Genomic DNA, 16,758 nt, shown 5'->3' with positions numbered 1-16,758 from the left:
CTCGAAGCTGCAGCTCGTCTAGAGGGCCGTTCCGAAACAGAATGACAGAATCAGGTGGGCGGCCTAAGGCAGCCTAAAGCAACATGCTCGCACAACACAGACCCATCGTGGCACCTGACGAGACGTTGTCTCCATCTGAGCGCCGCTTTGACAAAGCCCTGACGGCTGCCACCAGCCAGACGCGCCTCTGTCCTCCAGGCCGAGGGTGAGGATGGGAGATGCTCCGTGGGACTTTCAGGCCTGAAACTGGGCATTCCGGGGCAAACCAGGAGGTGGGCTGCCCTATTCATTAACGCGTAGTTGTGAAAAGCAAATCGTGTATTTCCTGCTTCCACCAGGGCCTCTCCCATGTTCCACCTCGGTTCTAAAATCTCAGTTCAAAGAAATTTTGCTCTAGAAAGTAGCGCACACGCGTTGGTCCAAACCTCTTGTGCTGCTGGTAGGAGGGCAGCCTTGGGTGGGGAGGGCCAGCAGCTCCCACAGGTGGGGACAGGTGGGCAGGGCATGGGCGTCCTGCTGCCCGACTGCCCGCCTTGCCATGCCCCAGCCTGGGGAAGCCCTGGTCCCCGCTGCCCCGAGCGCGGTGGAGAGGATTGCGCAGGCTTCCCACCTTGTTTCTGAGAAGCTCCCACTGGGCTTGTCGGGCGGGGGCACAGCCCCAGATGTGGTCGCTTTTCTCAGGCAGCCCACAGCGGCCCCCTTCACCCCCTGAGCACCCCTGAGCCCCTCCTCTGGGCTCTGATGCGTTTCCCACAGGGGCTGGCAGCAGCAGCTTGGTGGGCAGCAGCTCGGTTTCTGTTCAGAACTGTCCGTCTGCCTAGACTGGCATGGCTCCAGGGTCAGCCGGAAACTGGAGCAAGGGTTGCGGACAGAACATGCTCTCCCACTTCTCTGCTTCCTCCTTTCCCAGATCCTCACACACTCACACACTGGCAGCCCTGGCTGTCCCAGGTATCTTCACCTGTGTTCTCCATACCCAGAGGTGGTGACTTTGTGCCAGCGTCTTACTAACCCCAGGCAGTGCTGCCCTCCTGGCAAAGCCACACACAGAAGCCTCGCCTGGGCCGGGTGCTGCTTCTAGCTCTGACTCTCCCTCCAGAAACTGCCTGTTTCTCCTGCTCTAGAGCCCCGGGCGGTTGACTTTGTATTGTGCCTGGGTCCACGCGTGTTACCCGAGGAGCCTCCATTCGCTGGGCACTCACCGGGCACTCGCTGGGCACTCGCTGGGCATTCACCGGGCACTCGCTGGGCACTCACTGGGCATTCACCAGGCACTCGCTGGGCACTTGCAGGCACTCACCGGGCACTCGCTGGGCACTCGCTGGGCATTCACCGGGCACTCGCTGGGCACTCGCTGGGCATTCGCCGGGCACTTGCTGGGCACTCACTGGGCACTCACTGGGCATTCGCCGGGCACTCGCTGGGCACTCGCTGGGCATTCACCAGGCACTCGTTGGGCACTTGCGGGCACTCACCGGGCACTCGCTGGGCATTCACCGGGCACTCGCTGGGCACTCTCTGGGCACTCACTGGGCATTCACCGGGCACTCACTGGGCACTCGCTGGGCATTCACCGGGCACTCGCTGGGCACTCACTGGGCATTCGCCGGGCACTCGCTGGGCACTTGCGGGCACTCACCAGGCACTCACCGGGCACTCACCGGGCTCTCACCAGGCACTCGCCAGGTACTTGCTCCTCCTCATTAGAGACAGAACTCTGGAATTTCCTTTCGTGACATACTCCTGTTGGCTGCGTTTATTTAGTGTTGACTTCGTTCCCACAGGTCCTTAATAGAAAAACAGTGTCACTGGCTGGGGTTGGCTGCAAGCTGAAATCCAATAAATTGGCGTGAAGTGTCTCTTATAACCTCTCAAGTGTGTAGGAAAAGCTGCACAAAGACGGAGCAGTTAAACCCAACTGCCAGGCAATTCCGTTTATGGTCAAAGCATCTTGAGAGCTGACCAGTAACTGCCCTCTGGAGCCCACGCTGCTGTTAAGAGCTGCAGGCTCTCCTTTCCACACTCATGCTCTCCCCCAGGCCAGCGTATCTGTTCCTGCACCTGCTGCCCAGGAGACCAGGAGGCCGGAGAGGCTGGAGAACCTCCACCTTCTCTTTGTGCTCCCTGTGGTGATGGTCAGTGGCAGGACGTCCAGGCACAAAATTGGGTGAGAGATGCCGTGAAGACACCTGTGTCCACAGGAGAGCTGAGTCCAGGACACACAGGTCTTCAGGTTACCTCAACGAGGTGAATTCGCAAGAGGACAGGGCTGGGCTGAAAAGCACCTGTGGGCACTGGAAAAGATTAACCCTTCATGGAACTCACCATGGGCCCAGCACAGGATCCCAGCCCTGAGGGTGCATCAGTCTTGACCGGTACAGTCCTTAGAGCTTATGAAACCAGTGTTCACGCAGGGCGACCCTCCGTCACGAGGGCAATTCATCATGAACCCACGAACATGCTCTCTGACAAGACCCCATGCATTTGACGCCGGAGAAAACCTGCCAGTTTTGATTAAATGTCAAAACATCAAATGGTGTTGCTACTGACCTGCAGAATCTAAATTAATAAGAAAAAAGACATTAATAAAGGGAGTTGAAAATCAGCCCTGGCAAACACAACAACAAAAAAGAAAACAGCTTTCCTGGGATCCTAGAGAAAACTTTCTTATTGGTGGGAGCATCATGGACAGTGTTGGAGCAGGACTGCAGGTGAGGAAGCCTCCAGCACACCTGTGCCTTCCTGGTACCCAGGCTGAGAGCTGCCAGGAAAACTCACAGTGAGGCAGCTGTCACCTGCTGCTCCGGCAGCTCCTCACACGGCCCTGAAGGGCTGGGTAGTTATTCCCAGCTTGCAGGTGAGGACGCTGAGGCCCCTCTTCTTTCTTAGTACATCTGGGCTCCAACCACCTCTGCAAGCACCAGCGTCTCCACTCAGCGCTGACTAAGACATCAGCATCTTAATCAGCGTGGATTAAGGACCCTCACATCCAACCACACTCCAGAAGTATTCCTCTAAGTTCTTGCTCATGTGTTTTTTGGAGAGTTCCACACGTGCACAGTAGAGTGGCTGCAGAGCTCACCAAGCATCAGTGGCTTCCAGCTCCTCAGCCAGGCCCATCTGGCTTTTCATCCTTGCTATGATCTGAGTGTGTCCCTCGAAAAGTTCAGGTGTCGGAAACTTAATCCCAAATGCAACAGTGTTGGGAGAGAGGGCCTAAAAAGAGGTAACTGGGTCGTGAGGGTGGCGCCCTTACAAGTGGATCGGTGTTATTGCTGGAATGAGTGGTCATGAAGTGAGTCCAGCCCTGGTGCCTCTGCTCACTCCCACCTTCCGTCTACATGGCGGGGCCACCCTCCCAGATGTAGACACCACGCTCTCGGCCTTCCAAGCCTCCAGAGCTGTGAGAAATAAGCTCATTTCTTTATAAATGACCCATAGGTGGTATTCTGTTTTAACAACAGAAAGCAAACTAAGACAGTAACAGTAAATTGGATTATTTTAAAACAAATCCCAGACATGATATCATTTCATCTGTAAATATTTCAGGATGTTTCTCCAAAGGATGTGGACACTTTTCAGATATATAACCATGGTACCATCCTCACACCTAAGGTGAGTAACAGTGCACCCTCCATATCATCCGATGTCCTGCAAGGATCCATATTGATAACTGCCCCATACGTCTGATTTTATTGTTGTTTACCTTTGCTACCTGGGGTTCATTTGTTCGACTCAGGGTCAAAATATCCCACAGAGTGCATGTGTCTTTGATGCCTCTTTTGATATCCTGCCCGCTCCGTTTCTGCTTTTCCTTGCAATTGATCAAAGTTGTTGGGCCATCTGTGCCATGGAGGCCAGCGTGCAGCCTGAGGACATCCTGTAGCTGCCCTGGGTGCTCTGCGTCTCTGTGGGACGTCTCCGTGCCCCGCGTCTCTGTGGGGACATCTCCGTGCCCCGCGTCTCTGGGGGACGTCTCCGTGTCCCGCGTCTCTGTGGGACGTCTCCGTGCCCCGCATCTCTGTGGGACGTCTCCGTGCCCCGCGTCTCTGTGGGAACTGCTAGTTGGAACGAGGCTGGGGCACATCCGGGTTCTTTGCTTTTGGTCGGAGGCGCCTCCATCAGGATGTATGTGGCATCCTCTTGTCTTGTCTTTGTTGTGATGTTAGCGTCAGTAAATACTTCAGCCAAGGAATGTTCTAGTGAACAAGCGAATGAACTCACAGAGCCCCTGCCCTGACGGGGCTGTTTACCCGCGGGGGCATTTTCCCCGGCCCCTCATCCTAACATGCACTCGTCTTTTAACTCTTTTGCTGAGTTAACAAAAGTTGCAGAAATAGCAGAGCGAGCTCCCTCATCCCTTCACCTAGATTCCTTCACTGCTAACCTTTCTGATCCACCTGAAACTTCCTTGCAAGCACAACAGATGCCTGTTACTGCTAAATACTTCAGTGAGTATTTCCTGAGAAAAAGACGCTGCACACAAAACTGCAGCAAAATCACTCACAGCAGGAAACCAGCGTTGGCTCAATGGCAACACCTACCCCATGGGCTCCACTCCGATTGCACCAGTTCCGCGGTTTCTTCCAGAAGTCCAAGACTAAGCCCAGGGTCAGGTGCTGTGTTCGGCCGCCACACACCCGTGCTCTGAAGAGCGTCTCGGCTCTGCCTGCGTTTCAGGATCTCGGCAGGCCGGCCCACGGCTTCGCGTCCTTCAGTTTGCCTGGCGCTTTCTTCTGAGGCGTGTGTTTCGGGCAGAACATGCTAGACATCGTGCTGGGCTGATCTCAGCACCGCGCAGGGCACGCGCACGAGGCCAACCCATCCCTGGCTGATGACCGCGCCTCCGACCACCAGGGTAAGAGGGTATCTGCCTGGTCTCTCTGCCGTTACTGTGTGGCCTCGGAGAGAACAGCCCCCAAGGTGCCCACCTACTAATCCTGGGAACCTGGGTATGCATCAGGTTATGTGGCAAAGGGAGCCAAGACTGCCTGGGACGCGAGGTCATCCCCAAGACTTCAGGGGCAGTGAGGGTTACCCACCTGCTGGCCTGAGACGGGGAGGTCATCCCCAAGACTGCAGGGGGAGTGAGGGTTACCCACCCACTGGCCTGAGACGGGGAGGTCATCCCTGGCCATCCGGGCAGGCCCAGAGTAATCATGAGGGTCCATCCCAGTGAGAGGGGAGGTGAGGGATCAGAGTCAGGGAGAGGCTTGAAGGTGCTGAAGAAGTTTGAAGATACTGGCTTGAAAGGTGGACTGGGTCTGTGAGACAAGGGACTTGGGTGGCCTCTAGGAGCTGAAGGGGCCCAGATTCTCCCCTGGAGCCCCCAGAAGGAAGGGCTCACAGCACCAAGTCCCATGTCAGGCATCTGGCCTCCAGGACTAAACAGTGACAGTGACTGTTGTTTCAGCCATAAGTTTATGCTGATTTGTTATAGCAGCCACAGAAAGCTAATGCACATGGAATATATTGATATACATGGAATGCATTGATACACATGGAATGCATTGATACACGTGGAATATATTGATACACGTGGAATATATTGATACACGTGGAATGCATTGATACACGTGGAATGCATTGATACACGTGGAATGCATTGATACACGTGGAATATATTGATACACGTGGAATATATTGATACACGTGGAATATATTGATACATGTGGAATATATTGATACACATGGAATACATTGATTGAAAAGCAATTAATATCTATTTTCCGGGGAGATCCTTCAGCACCGGAGGGGTCTGGTGATGACACCCTGGCCTGGTGCGTGGAAAGACCTCACAGAAGAGGAACACTGATGATTTGCTGAGACTTTGTCTCAGCTGAGGCAACAAACTCACTGGCCCCGCGGTGCCCTGGTGTCTTCACTCTGCCCCACCTGGCCCTGGCCCTGCTGCGCTGGACTCCCCCACACTGGCTCCTGGAGAGGCCCCCGCACGGTCTATGCCTGGATCCCGAGCCCACCTTTCCCCCAAGGACGCATCCACATTGTCGAAATCCAGGAAGGAAAACGAAACCACAGACGTTTTCTCTCCTCCTCTCATTAACCCCATGCGATGACAGTTAAGGAGCAGAAGGGAATTAACCAGCCGTGAGGAAGACAGAACTGGCATTCACAGAAAAAAGATTCAACAAATTCCCGGGAGGTGGGAAGTCGACAGAAACGTTTCAAGAAGCAGCGTAGGGGTGCCGGAGCGATGTCCCAGGACGGCAGGACCCCAGGGCTGTCCCCACACGGGAATCAGAGTCTGCATGGACGTCAGACTTCGCCTCAACAACGCTGGAGCCGGAAGACAATGGAGCCGGGCCTTCCAAATTCCACAGGAATCTGGCTTCCAGCCTTGAATTTTATACTCACGCAAACCATCCATCAGGGAGAAAGGATGCCTCAGCCCTTCCAGGCCTGGCCAGTTTGCACGACTTCTTAGACAGCACGCGGAGGTTTCCTGCAGCAGGGCAAGGACTCACCCAGAGAAACAGAGGCAGTGGCTCTAGCCTGGGGCCCGGAACAGCCCAAGAGGCATCCCAACCAGGGCAGAGCATGGAGGAGGGTGTCAGGAGGTGTCTCTGAGGATAAGGAGGGGGTAAGGATGGTGGAAGTGCAGACCACAGGAAGGAAAGGAAGTCAGTTGGGGCTGCGAGGAGACACAGCCTGCGCCGGGGATGTGCACCGGGGACGTGCGCCGCAGACATGGCCGAGGCAGCCTCAACCCTCCCTGTGGACTCAGCCAGGGGACACCCCCGTGGGGCATCTAGGTGGGGCCTCTGCAAAGAGCATTTCCACAGCTCCTGGCTCTGCCCTGCGGAGGGACCTGAGGAACAACACGTGTTGATTTGTTGATTTTCAGCTCTGGAATGAACCCTGAGACCAACCCTGAAGACCCAGCAGGAGGTGCTGGGCATTACTGATGTTGAGACTGGGTGGTTCAGCCGGGAGCAGCTGAGCCCTAACCTGCCTGCTTTGGTGGGAGGAGCCAGTCCTCATCTGCCCATCGGTGGCCTGGCGCTGTCTGGCCCTCAGCCCGTTCCCCACAGCACCTTTCCTTCAGGGCAGCTCTGGTGTCTGGTGTGGGCCTGACGCTGTAGGACCATCCCTTCCTGCTGTCCCTATGAAGGGAGCCTTTTCCCAAGGCTGCTGGTGGACCACCGGTCCCATCCCACTGGCTAGAAACATGGTCTCACGCTCACCCCTGTACTCATCCTGCAGGCAGCTCAGGCTGATGGGAATCTGCCCTCGAAGAGGGGCTGGGGTGGCTATTGGGCTGTGCACTCCCAGCAGGCTCCAGGGCTGTGACGCTGCAGCCTGGACCGCACCGTGTGTGGGCAGCAAGTTGCCAAGAACATGCTTGGTATCCACCTCTCCTGGGCAGGGCAAGTCGGGGAGAGGCAGGCACAGGCGGCGTCCATCTCTCCCAGGCAGGGAGAGTGGGGGAGAGGCAGGTGCGGGCGGCATCCACCTCTCCCGGGCAGGGCGCGTTGGGGAGAGGCAGGTGCAGACAGCGTCCACCTCTCCCGGGCAGGGTGAGTGGGGGAGAGGTAGGTGTGGGCGGCGTCCACCTGTCCCGCGCAGGGCGAGTTGGGGAGAGGCAGGTGCGGGCGGCGAGGATCTGGCCTCATCTCACAGGCAGCGGCAGAGCCCACCTGGAGTCAGAACAGAAATGACGCTGCAGGGTTTTGGGGGAGCTGTGTGTGGACGAGGCTGGGACAATGACACGCTGGAAGGAGGCTGTGAGCGGCGTGGGTTGACCTAGATTCTCGTCACCAGTCACAGCCTGAAGCTGGCGCCTCTGGAAGGCACAGCCCGGCACCACAGGACCCCAGCCATCAAACCACAGCCTCTGAATTTGGAAATGTCTCGCCAGAGAGGGAAATACCCATCCCCACAGGAGCGAGAGCCCAGGGGTTGACAACCCTGGGAAGCCGGTGGATTTCAGAATCCACACAGGAGGTCCAGCCCGGCTAGGGCCGGATGGCCAGGCTGTCCTTGGTTGGCCTGTGGCCTGGCCTCTGGCCTGGAGACCCCAGGAGGGCAGGTGGCCACTCCCAACAAGACCACATGGCCACTGCCACACGTGTCTTCTTCCTCCAGCCACAAAGATAGTGATCCCTTGGGCGTCCCTGTGGGGCTGTACAGCAAATCCCCTGGGGAGAGGGACCGAGGCCCGTCCCAAAGGGACAGTCCAGGTGCTGCAGGGCAGCCGCTCAGGGCAGGCATGGCTGGCAGAGGGTGCCTGAGGGGCTCAGATAGCCCCTTCTCCATGGAGCACCCCCGCCAACCCCCTTGGGCCATTCTTTCTGCACTGGGGGGTGTCAGCCCCCTGGGTCAAGGGCAGTGGGGACCTGGGCTGATGTCCTCAGCACCGAGGCAGGACCCGGCACCCAGAGCCCACCCCGGGCGGCCCCTGCACACTCCCCAGAGGGGCCCGGGTACATCTGGCCATGGCCGTGCTCTGTGCCTGAGCCCTGACGCCTGGCTTTGTGTGTGCTGGGCTGGGCTGGGCCTCCGGACAGGGGCATGAGCTGGGCCACTGGCTGACCAGGGGTGTCCGTCATCCAGGGGTGTCCGTCATCCAGGGGTGTCCATCCATCCCCAGTGGGCACAGCTCCAACCCCTCCAGGGCAGCCTCAGCTCCCATTCCCATCCAGTCTGCCCCTGCCCAGCCTGCCCAGCTGGGTGCAGGCCATGCCCTCAGGCCCAAGTGGGCCTAGCCTCATTCTCTGTGGGTGGCTCACCCCTCTTCCCAGGGTGGGCTGCCCCCCGTCCTCCCCACAGGGGAAGATCCTATGTCTGGGCCCACCGTGGACAGCCGGAGGAGACCTCACACCCTCTCCTGGAGGCCACGCTGGTGCGTGTGGCCAGGTGTGGGATCTGGGCCTCGCTGGCTACCAGGACATACTGTCATCCTTGTGTGCTGGGGGACGGGGCTGTCCCTGACATGAGGAAAGAGGCAGGCAACTTCAGTACACGGTGCTGGATGGGAGGAGATGAGAGGAGAACCCTGGCACTCGAGACCTCCCTCCAAGACGCCCTTGCCGCCGAGTCCGTCCTGAACCTCGGCGAGTGAGTCACTTTCCCACTCAGAGGTCAGTTTCTCCGAAGTGACTTCCCAGAGCCGTGAAGACAGCAAGCCAGCCTCTGGCAAGCGATGGCTTGGGGGCAGCGGTGAGGGAGGGGCTGTGCTGAGCAACCTCAGGACTGGTCGCCAGTGCCTGAGTCAGGGCACCTGGATGGGGTCACAGGCAGGGAGGTGGGCACGTCTCCAGCTGCGCAGCCCCGTCTACCCAGCCCAGCCCCAGAGACCCTACCAGCCTGGCAGGAGGGCAGTGTGGCTTAGAGCAGGTAGGAGATGGATCTGATGGCGAGTGCCGGGCTCTTTGTGCATAAAACGGGCCCCAGATACTCACAGTGGGCCCTCGTGTGCTGTCTCAGTCGTGGTCCCGTGGGAGGAACGTGAGTGTCGGGAACCAGTAGCAAGAGGGAGGGCCAGGGAGCAGGGCCTGGGCTGGGGAAGAACCTGAAAGGGGTGCTGGAGTGGCTGCCCTGTGGGAGGCGGAGGGAGGGGCCTCTAAAGAAGCACGGCCGATTGCTGCGACTCTGGGCCTCCTGGTTTTTAAGACCACAGCAGACAATTAAACTGCCCCTCACTCGTGTTTGGCGGTCTCTGGCCGCACGGAAGCCAGGGGTCAGAGCCCTACCAGCCCAGGCAGAGTCAGTTCCTTGAGGTCAGGCCCTCCAGGACCTGGGGGATCCAGGGACCAAGTGGGTGGACAGCTCTGCTCCTGGGGTGATCTTCCCCCTCCCCTGAGTCCTGACCCAAATAAACAGCTGGTGCCCTGTCCTTGCAGCCTATGCTCCTGGGGAGCCGGCCTGGGATTTGGATTTGTACTCATGAAGGACAGCGCTCCCTGACTCCCAGCTCCCCCTCCCTGGGCTGCTCCCCTTGGCAGATCACCAGGGGAGGGGGACAGGATGCGGGAACCAGCGCCCTCCCTCTCCTGAGGCTCAGCAGAGCCCTGCCCGGTCCCGCAGTGCTCCCAGGACCCTGTACCAGCCCATCTGTGCACTGTGCCTCGGGCACTCCTGGTAACGATGCCTCTTCCTCCAGGACGTGCGCCCAGGCCTCCGCTCAGCGCCGTCCGGGTTTCCTGCTGCCTCCTCTTGCTCCTTTCGGGGACACAAGACACCCGGGTCTTGCTCCTGCCATACCCTGCTCTGAACCTCCCCCCAGGAACCCCGACCAGACCGCCAGGCAGTGCCTGGACTCGCTGTCCAGAGTGGGGAATTCGACCAGACTCATTCATGTCTAAACCCTCTGAGTGTTTCCAAATCACCCCACTCCCAGCCCCACCGAGAGGAAGGTGGGGAAAGAAACCAAGCACGGTGGAGGGTCCCTGCTCCTTCCCCACAAGAGGCCGCGCCTGTGGTGCCGAGTCAGCACTGCTGCTGGTGTGGCTGTAAATAGTCCTGAGATTGGAGAGCTCAGCTTTGAGGAGGCTGGAAGGTAACAACACCTGACAAGTTTTATTTTTAAATGTATCTGCCCAGGCTGCAAGAGGGGCTTACATAATTCAGGCCAGTGTGTTTACTTAGTCTAAGGTGAAACCCAAAAAAAGAAAAGGAGGGAGGGAGGAGGAAGGGTGGGAAGGAAGAACAGAACAGGGAAGGGGGAGAGGAAGGGTCCCCAGCAGCCTCGGCTGGCACAGACTTGGCTGGGGCTGCCCTCAGCCACCGCCTGGAGGGAGTCAATGTCCACCACAGGTGTGGGGGCACCTGGTTGGCCTCCCAGCAGGCTGTTTCCTGGCTAGGGCCCTTGAGCAGAGCCCTCAGGCCACACGTGATTCGCTGAAGTGGGCATATCAAGGAGGGGGCACGTCCTACCTGGGGTGAGGGCCGAACCTGCTGCTCCCAGGTCAGCACAGCTAGTGGGGAGGAGGCGTCCTGACCCTGGAATTGTGGTATGTGCAACAGAGTCAGGCTGTTCTCAGCCGGGCAGAGCTCCTCCCTCCTCCTGAGCATGGAGGGAGCCATCGGGTACTAGTGGTTGCCATGAGCACCGACCCGCCCTGGTCAGTCCCCCAGTGCTGCTGCTGGCCACTCCAGGGGTCCCAGCTCTGAGGGCACCCTGCCCCTTCCTGGGGCAGCCTAACGATGCCATGCAGGCTGGGTGACCCTCACAGAGGAGCGTGGGTGCCTTGGGGGCTGAGGCCCAGTGGGGGCCGAGCGGTGGGCGTCGTGCCCACCCCAGGCAGCAGGGTGCACCACTCATGGCACAGTGGCCACCGCTCACTTCGTCCCAGGACGACTGGCATGGATGACACCCAGGTGCTTCTGCAGCAAAGAGCCCTGACTGCAAATGGGAGCTGAAAGGGGTCCCGCCGGCTCCCATGAGTGAACCCATCTGGAATGAGGTTTAGTCATCATCCTGACTGGAGCCCCAACTCCAGCTCAGCCCTTGCCCCTGCACACCTGGGACCCCCAGTGATGTATCAGCAACTCCAAACCCGACCAATAGAAATTATTCAATTTGAAGAACAGAGAGAAAAAACGATTTTAAAAAATAAATGGAGTTTAACAATATAAGTGTCTAACACACGTGTATTTGGAGTCCCAGAAGTAGAGAAGAAAGACAATGAGGTGGAAACATTTTTAAAGAAATAACGGCCCTAAGTTTTATGAAAACATATATTTATATATTAAAGAAGCCCAGCAAATCCAAAGCAGAATAAACACTACACATGATAACTGCACATCATCACCAGACTCCTAAAAACCAAAAACAAAGAGAAAAATCTTTAGAGCAGCCAGGGTGAAATGACAAATCACACCAAGGAGAGCAATGACACGAATGACAGCCAACTTCTTCCCCTCGGGAGAGAGAGCAATGTCCTCAAGGTGATGAAGGAAAGACCCTTCAACCCCAAATTCTACATCCAGCAAATACAGCCTTTTAAAAAATAAAGGCAAAATAGAAATATTTTCTGATAAGTAAAAATTTAAAGAATTTGTAACCAGCAGACTTTTGCTCTAAGATACGGTAAAGGAAGTTTTTAGGCTGAAGGGAACTGACACCAGATGGAAACTGGATTTTCAAACCCGACATGAAGCACACCAGACACAGCAAGTACATAAGCAAATATAAAATATTGTATTTTTAGTCTCTTGATTCTTTAAAAGACATATGACTATTTCAAATAAAAATTATAACAGATTTTGAAGTTTGTGATGTAAGTAGATTTAAAATATATGAAGCAATGGCACAAAGGACAGGGTGGGAAATGGAGCTGCCCTGTTGTAAGGTCCTCACATTTGAGAAGTGGCTCAATATTAACTCTAAGTAGACTGTGGAAAGTTAAGCATGTATATTCTAATACTAAGAGCACACATTAAAATACTTGTGCAAAGAAGCAGAGGTGAAAAAGCACTAGGAAGATTAAATATATTTAATTAACTCTTTAAAAGACAGGAAGGAAGGAACAGAGAATAAAAAATAGAAGGGATGCAAAGGGAAGCAAATAACAGAATGATAGACATAGAGTCAATCTTATCAATAATTACATTAAGTATAAATGAACTAATTCCTCCAATTAAAAGGGAGAGGTTATCGGACTGAAGTTTTAAAAATAAAAAAGCAAAACCCAGCTATATGCTATTTATAGGAGAGACATATTTTGAATGCAAAGTGACATAGTGAGAAAGCAAAAGGATGAGAAAAGATTAAAGTGTCAACAAAAACATTAAAAACCCAGAGTAAGTATATTAACATCAGACAAAACGGATTTAAGACAAAGAGTATTACCAGAGATAGAGGGTCAATGTATTAGTAAGACATAAGAATCATAAAGGTGTATGCACCTAATGAGAGCACTTCAAAATACATAAAGCAAAAACTGACAGTATTAAAATGAGAAATATACAAATTCACAAACCTAGTTGGATATTTTCACACTCTTCCCTTACTAATGGATAAAACAAGTAGACAAAACAAGCAGTAAGGACACAGATCTAAGTAACACTATAATCCACATTGACCTAATGGCATTCACAGAACACATCGCCTAATAACTGCAGAATACACGTTCTTTCCATGTACACATTGAAAACTTGCCAAAATAGTTGATATGTTGAGCCAAAATCAAGTGTCAATAAATTTCAAAACATTGAAGTTGTATGGTGTGTTCTCTGATCACTGTGGAATTAAATTAAAAATCAATGCCAGTAAGATATCCAGGAAAGTCTCCTGCCCTGCCAGATACATGGCAATTAAGAAAAATGCTTCTGAATAAACTGGGTCAAAACAGAAAGATTAAAAAAAATTTCAAATTGATAGTGAAGATACGAGAAATGTCTTTTCTGTTTCATTTTAATTTAACTGCTTTAAAGAATGAAATTCAAAACCAATTTTATTAGTCAGGGTTCTCTAGATAAACATAACATAGATAGATGATAGATAGAAAGATAGAGAGACAGGGAAGGATGGATGGATGGATGGATACATGATTGATTATTGATGGAGAGAGAGAAAATCTATTATAGGAATTGGCACACATAATTATTAAGGCAGAGAAGTCCCATGGTCTGCCATCTGCAGGCTGGAGAACAGGGAGAGCTGGTCACGGTGTAATTCAGTTCAAGTTTGAAGGCCCAAGAATCACCGAGGCCAGTGTTTGAAGGCAGGAGAAGAGAGATGTTCCACCTCCAGCAGAGAGAGTTTTCCTGTCCTCCATGTCTGTGTTCTATGCAGGTCCTTGGCAGATTGCATGATGCCCACACTGGGGAGGGCAGACCCTCTTGACTCGGTCTATGGATTCAAACACTGATCTCTTCCAGAAACACACCCAGAAACAATCTTTTACCAGCTACTTGGGCATCCCTTAGCCCAGTCAAATGGACCTAAAATTAACAATGGCACCAGTAATCCACATTGTCACAGCCAGAGCTGGAAAACTGTAAGTAAATTTAAACAAAAATAAATATAATTAAGAAAATAATAAAAATAAGAATAGAAGTCAACAAAATAGAAAACAGAAAAAAGTTCAAATTGGCAAATCCAGGATTCGGTTCTTTAAAAAGATTAATAAAATCTTGGTATATCCTTATGATACGGAAGTGCTGGGAGGGGAAGGGTGTGGTCCCTTTAAATGATAGGGAAGGGGGAAGGGAAGTGCTGGGTACAGGAGGGTGTGGTCCCTGGCTAGGGCTCCACCCCCACGGACCTAGGTGAGGACAGGAATTTCCTGCCTAAATGTTGCATTTCCCAAGACCTCCCCTGGCCTGTCACACCCCTGTCACATCCTGTGCCTATAAAAACCCTGAGACTCTAGCAGGCAGGCACACAGGCAGGTGGACATCAAGAGGAGCACATCAGTGGAGGAACACACGGGCAGCTGGACGTGGTGAGCAACGCTCCGACAGTCACCAGCACGCCAGAAGGACACCGACCGATCGGCAGAACGACGTGGAGTTTGGCCAGGGCAGTTGGAGAGACCAGGCTGCCAAGTGGCCTGACTCCAGAGGAAAACCTTCCCACTCCATCCCCCTCTGACTTCCCCGGAGCTACCTCCACGCAATAAAACATTGCAGTCATTCTCCAAGCCCAGGTTTGATTCGATTCTTCCGGTGCACCAAGGCAAGAATCCTGGATACGGAATGCCCTCTGTCCTTGCAACAAGGTCTAATTGAGCTGGTGAACATAAGCCACCTATAGATGGCAAAGTAAGAACATATGGTAGCACATGTCCACTGCAGCGTCAGGAGCTGGAAACATTCACCCCTAGACACTGCCATGGGGTCAGAGCCCCCCAGCCTGCTCGTCTGTATGCTCCCCTGGCTAGTTTGAGCATCGGGGCACTGAAGAAGCAAGCCACACCCCCATCGCACACCCTGCAAGGGGAACAAGGGAACCTTTCCCATTTCACTTATAAGACTGATCATAAGACCGATCAGGGCCGGGCATGGTGGCTCACGCCTGTAATCCCAGCACTTTGGGAGGCCAAGGGGGGCGGATTATGAGGTCAGGAGATTGAGACCATCCTGGCTAACATGGTGAAACCCCGTCTCTACTAAAAATAATAATAATAAAAAAACTAGCTGAGTGTGGTGGTGCATGCCTGTAGTTCCAGCTACTCGGGAGGCTGAGGCAGGAGAATGGCTTGAACCCGGGAGGCAGAGGTTGCAGTGAGCTGAGATTGCACCATTGTACTCCAGCCTGGGTGACAGAGCCAGACCCCATAAGACTGATCAGGAGGCCTGGCACCGAAGCTCACACTTGTAATCCCAGCACTTTCAGAGGCCAAGGCAGGAGGATTGCTTGAGGCCAGGAGTTCAAGACCAGCTTGGGCAACACAGCAAGACCCCATCTCTCCAAAAAATATTTTCTTTAAGTAGCCAGGTGTGGTGTTGCATGCCTGTAGTCCCAGCTATTCAGGAGACTGAGGCAGGAGGATCACTTGAGCCCAGGAGTTTGAGGCTGCAGTGAGCTATGATTGCACCACTGCACTGCAGCCCAGGAGACAGAGTGAGATCCTGTCTTAAACAAACAAAAACACAAAACAGATCAACCAAGATAAAAGAAAAATAAAGAGGGAAAAGCCTAAATTGCCAATATCAGAAATGAAAGAGGAAATATAGAGATTCTACAGTCACTAAAAGGGAAATCAGGGAACATGATAAACCAGTTTATGCCAATACATTTGGCAATTACAATGAAATGGGGGAAAGTCCTTGAATAATACAATTTACCAAAACCACCTTAGAATAAAATGGAAAATCCGAACGTCAACCCAGACTGAGGGGCACTCTGCAAAGTCGCTGACAAACACTCACAAAAATGTCAAGGTCAAGAAATACAAAGAAAGGCTACAAGAACTGTTGAAGAAGGATGGAAATTAGGACTTTGAAAAGGTCATAGGCCCGCGGTCCTGGATTAGATCCAGGATGTAGTGGGAAAAAGCTAAAGGGATGTTTAGGCACAATTGATGAAATCTGAGTATGGACTCTGGATTAGATATTTCATTGGTGTGAACTTTCCTGATTTTGACAGCTATACTGTGGTAATGAAAAGAAGTGTCTTTGTCAGGAAGTACACGCTGAGGTATTTAGCAGTAAAATGGCATAATTTCTTCAACTCTCAACTCACCCTCCGTCGATTCAGGGAAATGCGCATATGCAGACACAGGCACATGCAAACACATGTAAACACATGCAAACACATATAAACACGCGTGAACGGCAGAACAGCAGGAAGGTAACGCCAGAGAGAATTGGGAACAGCAGGAAGGTAATGCGTGAGGAGAAGTGGGAATGGCAGGAAGGTAATGGCATGAGGAGAAGTAGGAACAGCATGAAGGTAACGCCAGTGAGAAGTGGGAACAGAGGGAAGGTAACGTCGTTGAGGAGAAGTAGGAATGGCGGGAAGGTAACGCTGGTGAGAAGTGGGAAAGGCGGGAAGGAAACACCATTGAGGAGAAGTGGGAACGGCAGGAAGGTAACGCCGTGAGGAGAAGTGGGAATGGCAGGAAGGTAACGCCAGTGAGGAGTGGGAACGGTGGGAAGGTGACACCGGTGAGAAGTGGGAACCGCAGGAAGGTAACGCCGTTGAGGAGAAGTGGGAACGGAGGGAAGGTAACGCCAGTGAGGAGTGGGAACGGTGGGAAGGTGACACCGGTGAGAAGTGGGAACCGCAGGAATGTAACGCCGTTGAGGAGAAGTGGGAACGGAGGGAAGGTAACGCCAGTGAGGAGT

General features: G+C 53.6%; 2 long non-coding RNA genes across 2 annotated transcripts, besides 3 other annotated features; one reads left to right on the top strand and one right to left on the bottom strand.

Annotated features, from left to right (window-relative positions):
* The first annotated feature begins 2,815 nt into the window (after positions 1 to 2,815).
* On the top strand, positions 2,816 to 11,595 carry LOC124902527 (uncharacterized). The gene is made up of 2 exons (XR_007062349.1): positions 2,816 to 3,226; positions 3,550 to 11,595. It is a non-coding gene; the product is annotated as an uncharacterized LOC124902527 (long non-coding RNA).
* Positions 3,467 to 4,372: an enhancer, noted in NCBI's record as "H3K4me1 hESC enhancer chr10:134791193-134792098 (GRCh37/hg19 assembly coordinates)". NCBI's record gives its function as "activates a minimal SCP1, AML or CMV promoter by ChIP-STARR-seq in primed H9 embryonic stem cells {active_cell/tissue: H9 hESC(primed)}" and the evidence as "EXISTENCE:reporter gene assay evidence [ECO:0000049][PMID:30033119]".
* On the bottom strand, positions 5,564 to 16,527 carry LINC01168 (long intergenic non-protein coding RNA 1168). The gene is made up of 3 exons (NR_046231.1): positions 16,154 to 16,527; positions 7,206 to 10,962; positions 5,564 to 6,829 (listed from the first exon to the last, which is right to left on the bottom strand). It is a non-coding gene; the product is annotated as a long intergenic non-protein coding RNA 1168 (long non-coding RNA).
* Positions 6,273 to 7,099: an enhancer, noted in NCBI's record as "H3K4me1 hESC enhancer chr10:134788466-134789292 (GRCh37/hg19 assembly coordinates)". NCBI's record gives its function as "activates a minimal SCP1, AML or CMV promoter by ChIP-STARR-seq in naive H9 embryonic stem cells {active_cell/tissue: H9 hESC(naive)}" and the evidence as "EXISTENCE:reporter gene assay evidence [ECO:0000049][PMID:30033119]".
* Positions 10,205 to 10,926: an enhancer, noted in NCBI's record as "H3K27ac-H3K4me1 hESC enhancer chr10:134784639-134785360 (GRCh37/hg19 assembly coordinates)". NCBI's record gives its function as "activates a minimal SCP1, AML or CMV promoter by ChIP-STARR-seq in primed H9 embryonic stem cells {active_cell/tissue: H9 hESC(primed)}" and the evidence as "EXISTENCE:reporter gene assay evidence [ECO:0000049][PMID:30033119]".
* Positions 16,528 to 16,758: the final 231 nt, after the last annotated feature.

The sequence above is a fragment of the Homo sapiens genome, chromosome 10, assembly GCF_000001405.40.
Source record: "Homo sapiens chromosome 10, GRCh38.p14 Primary Assembly".
In the NCBI taxonomy this organism is placed as follows: domain Eukaryota; kingdom Metazoa; phylum Chordata; class Mammalia; order Primates; family Hominidae; genus Homo; species Homo sapiens.
The sequence above is the reverse complement of the archived record's forward strand: the minus strand, read 5'-3'. Positions and strand labels throughout refer to the sequence as shown.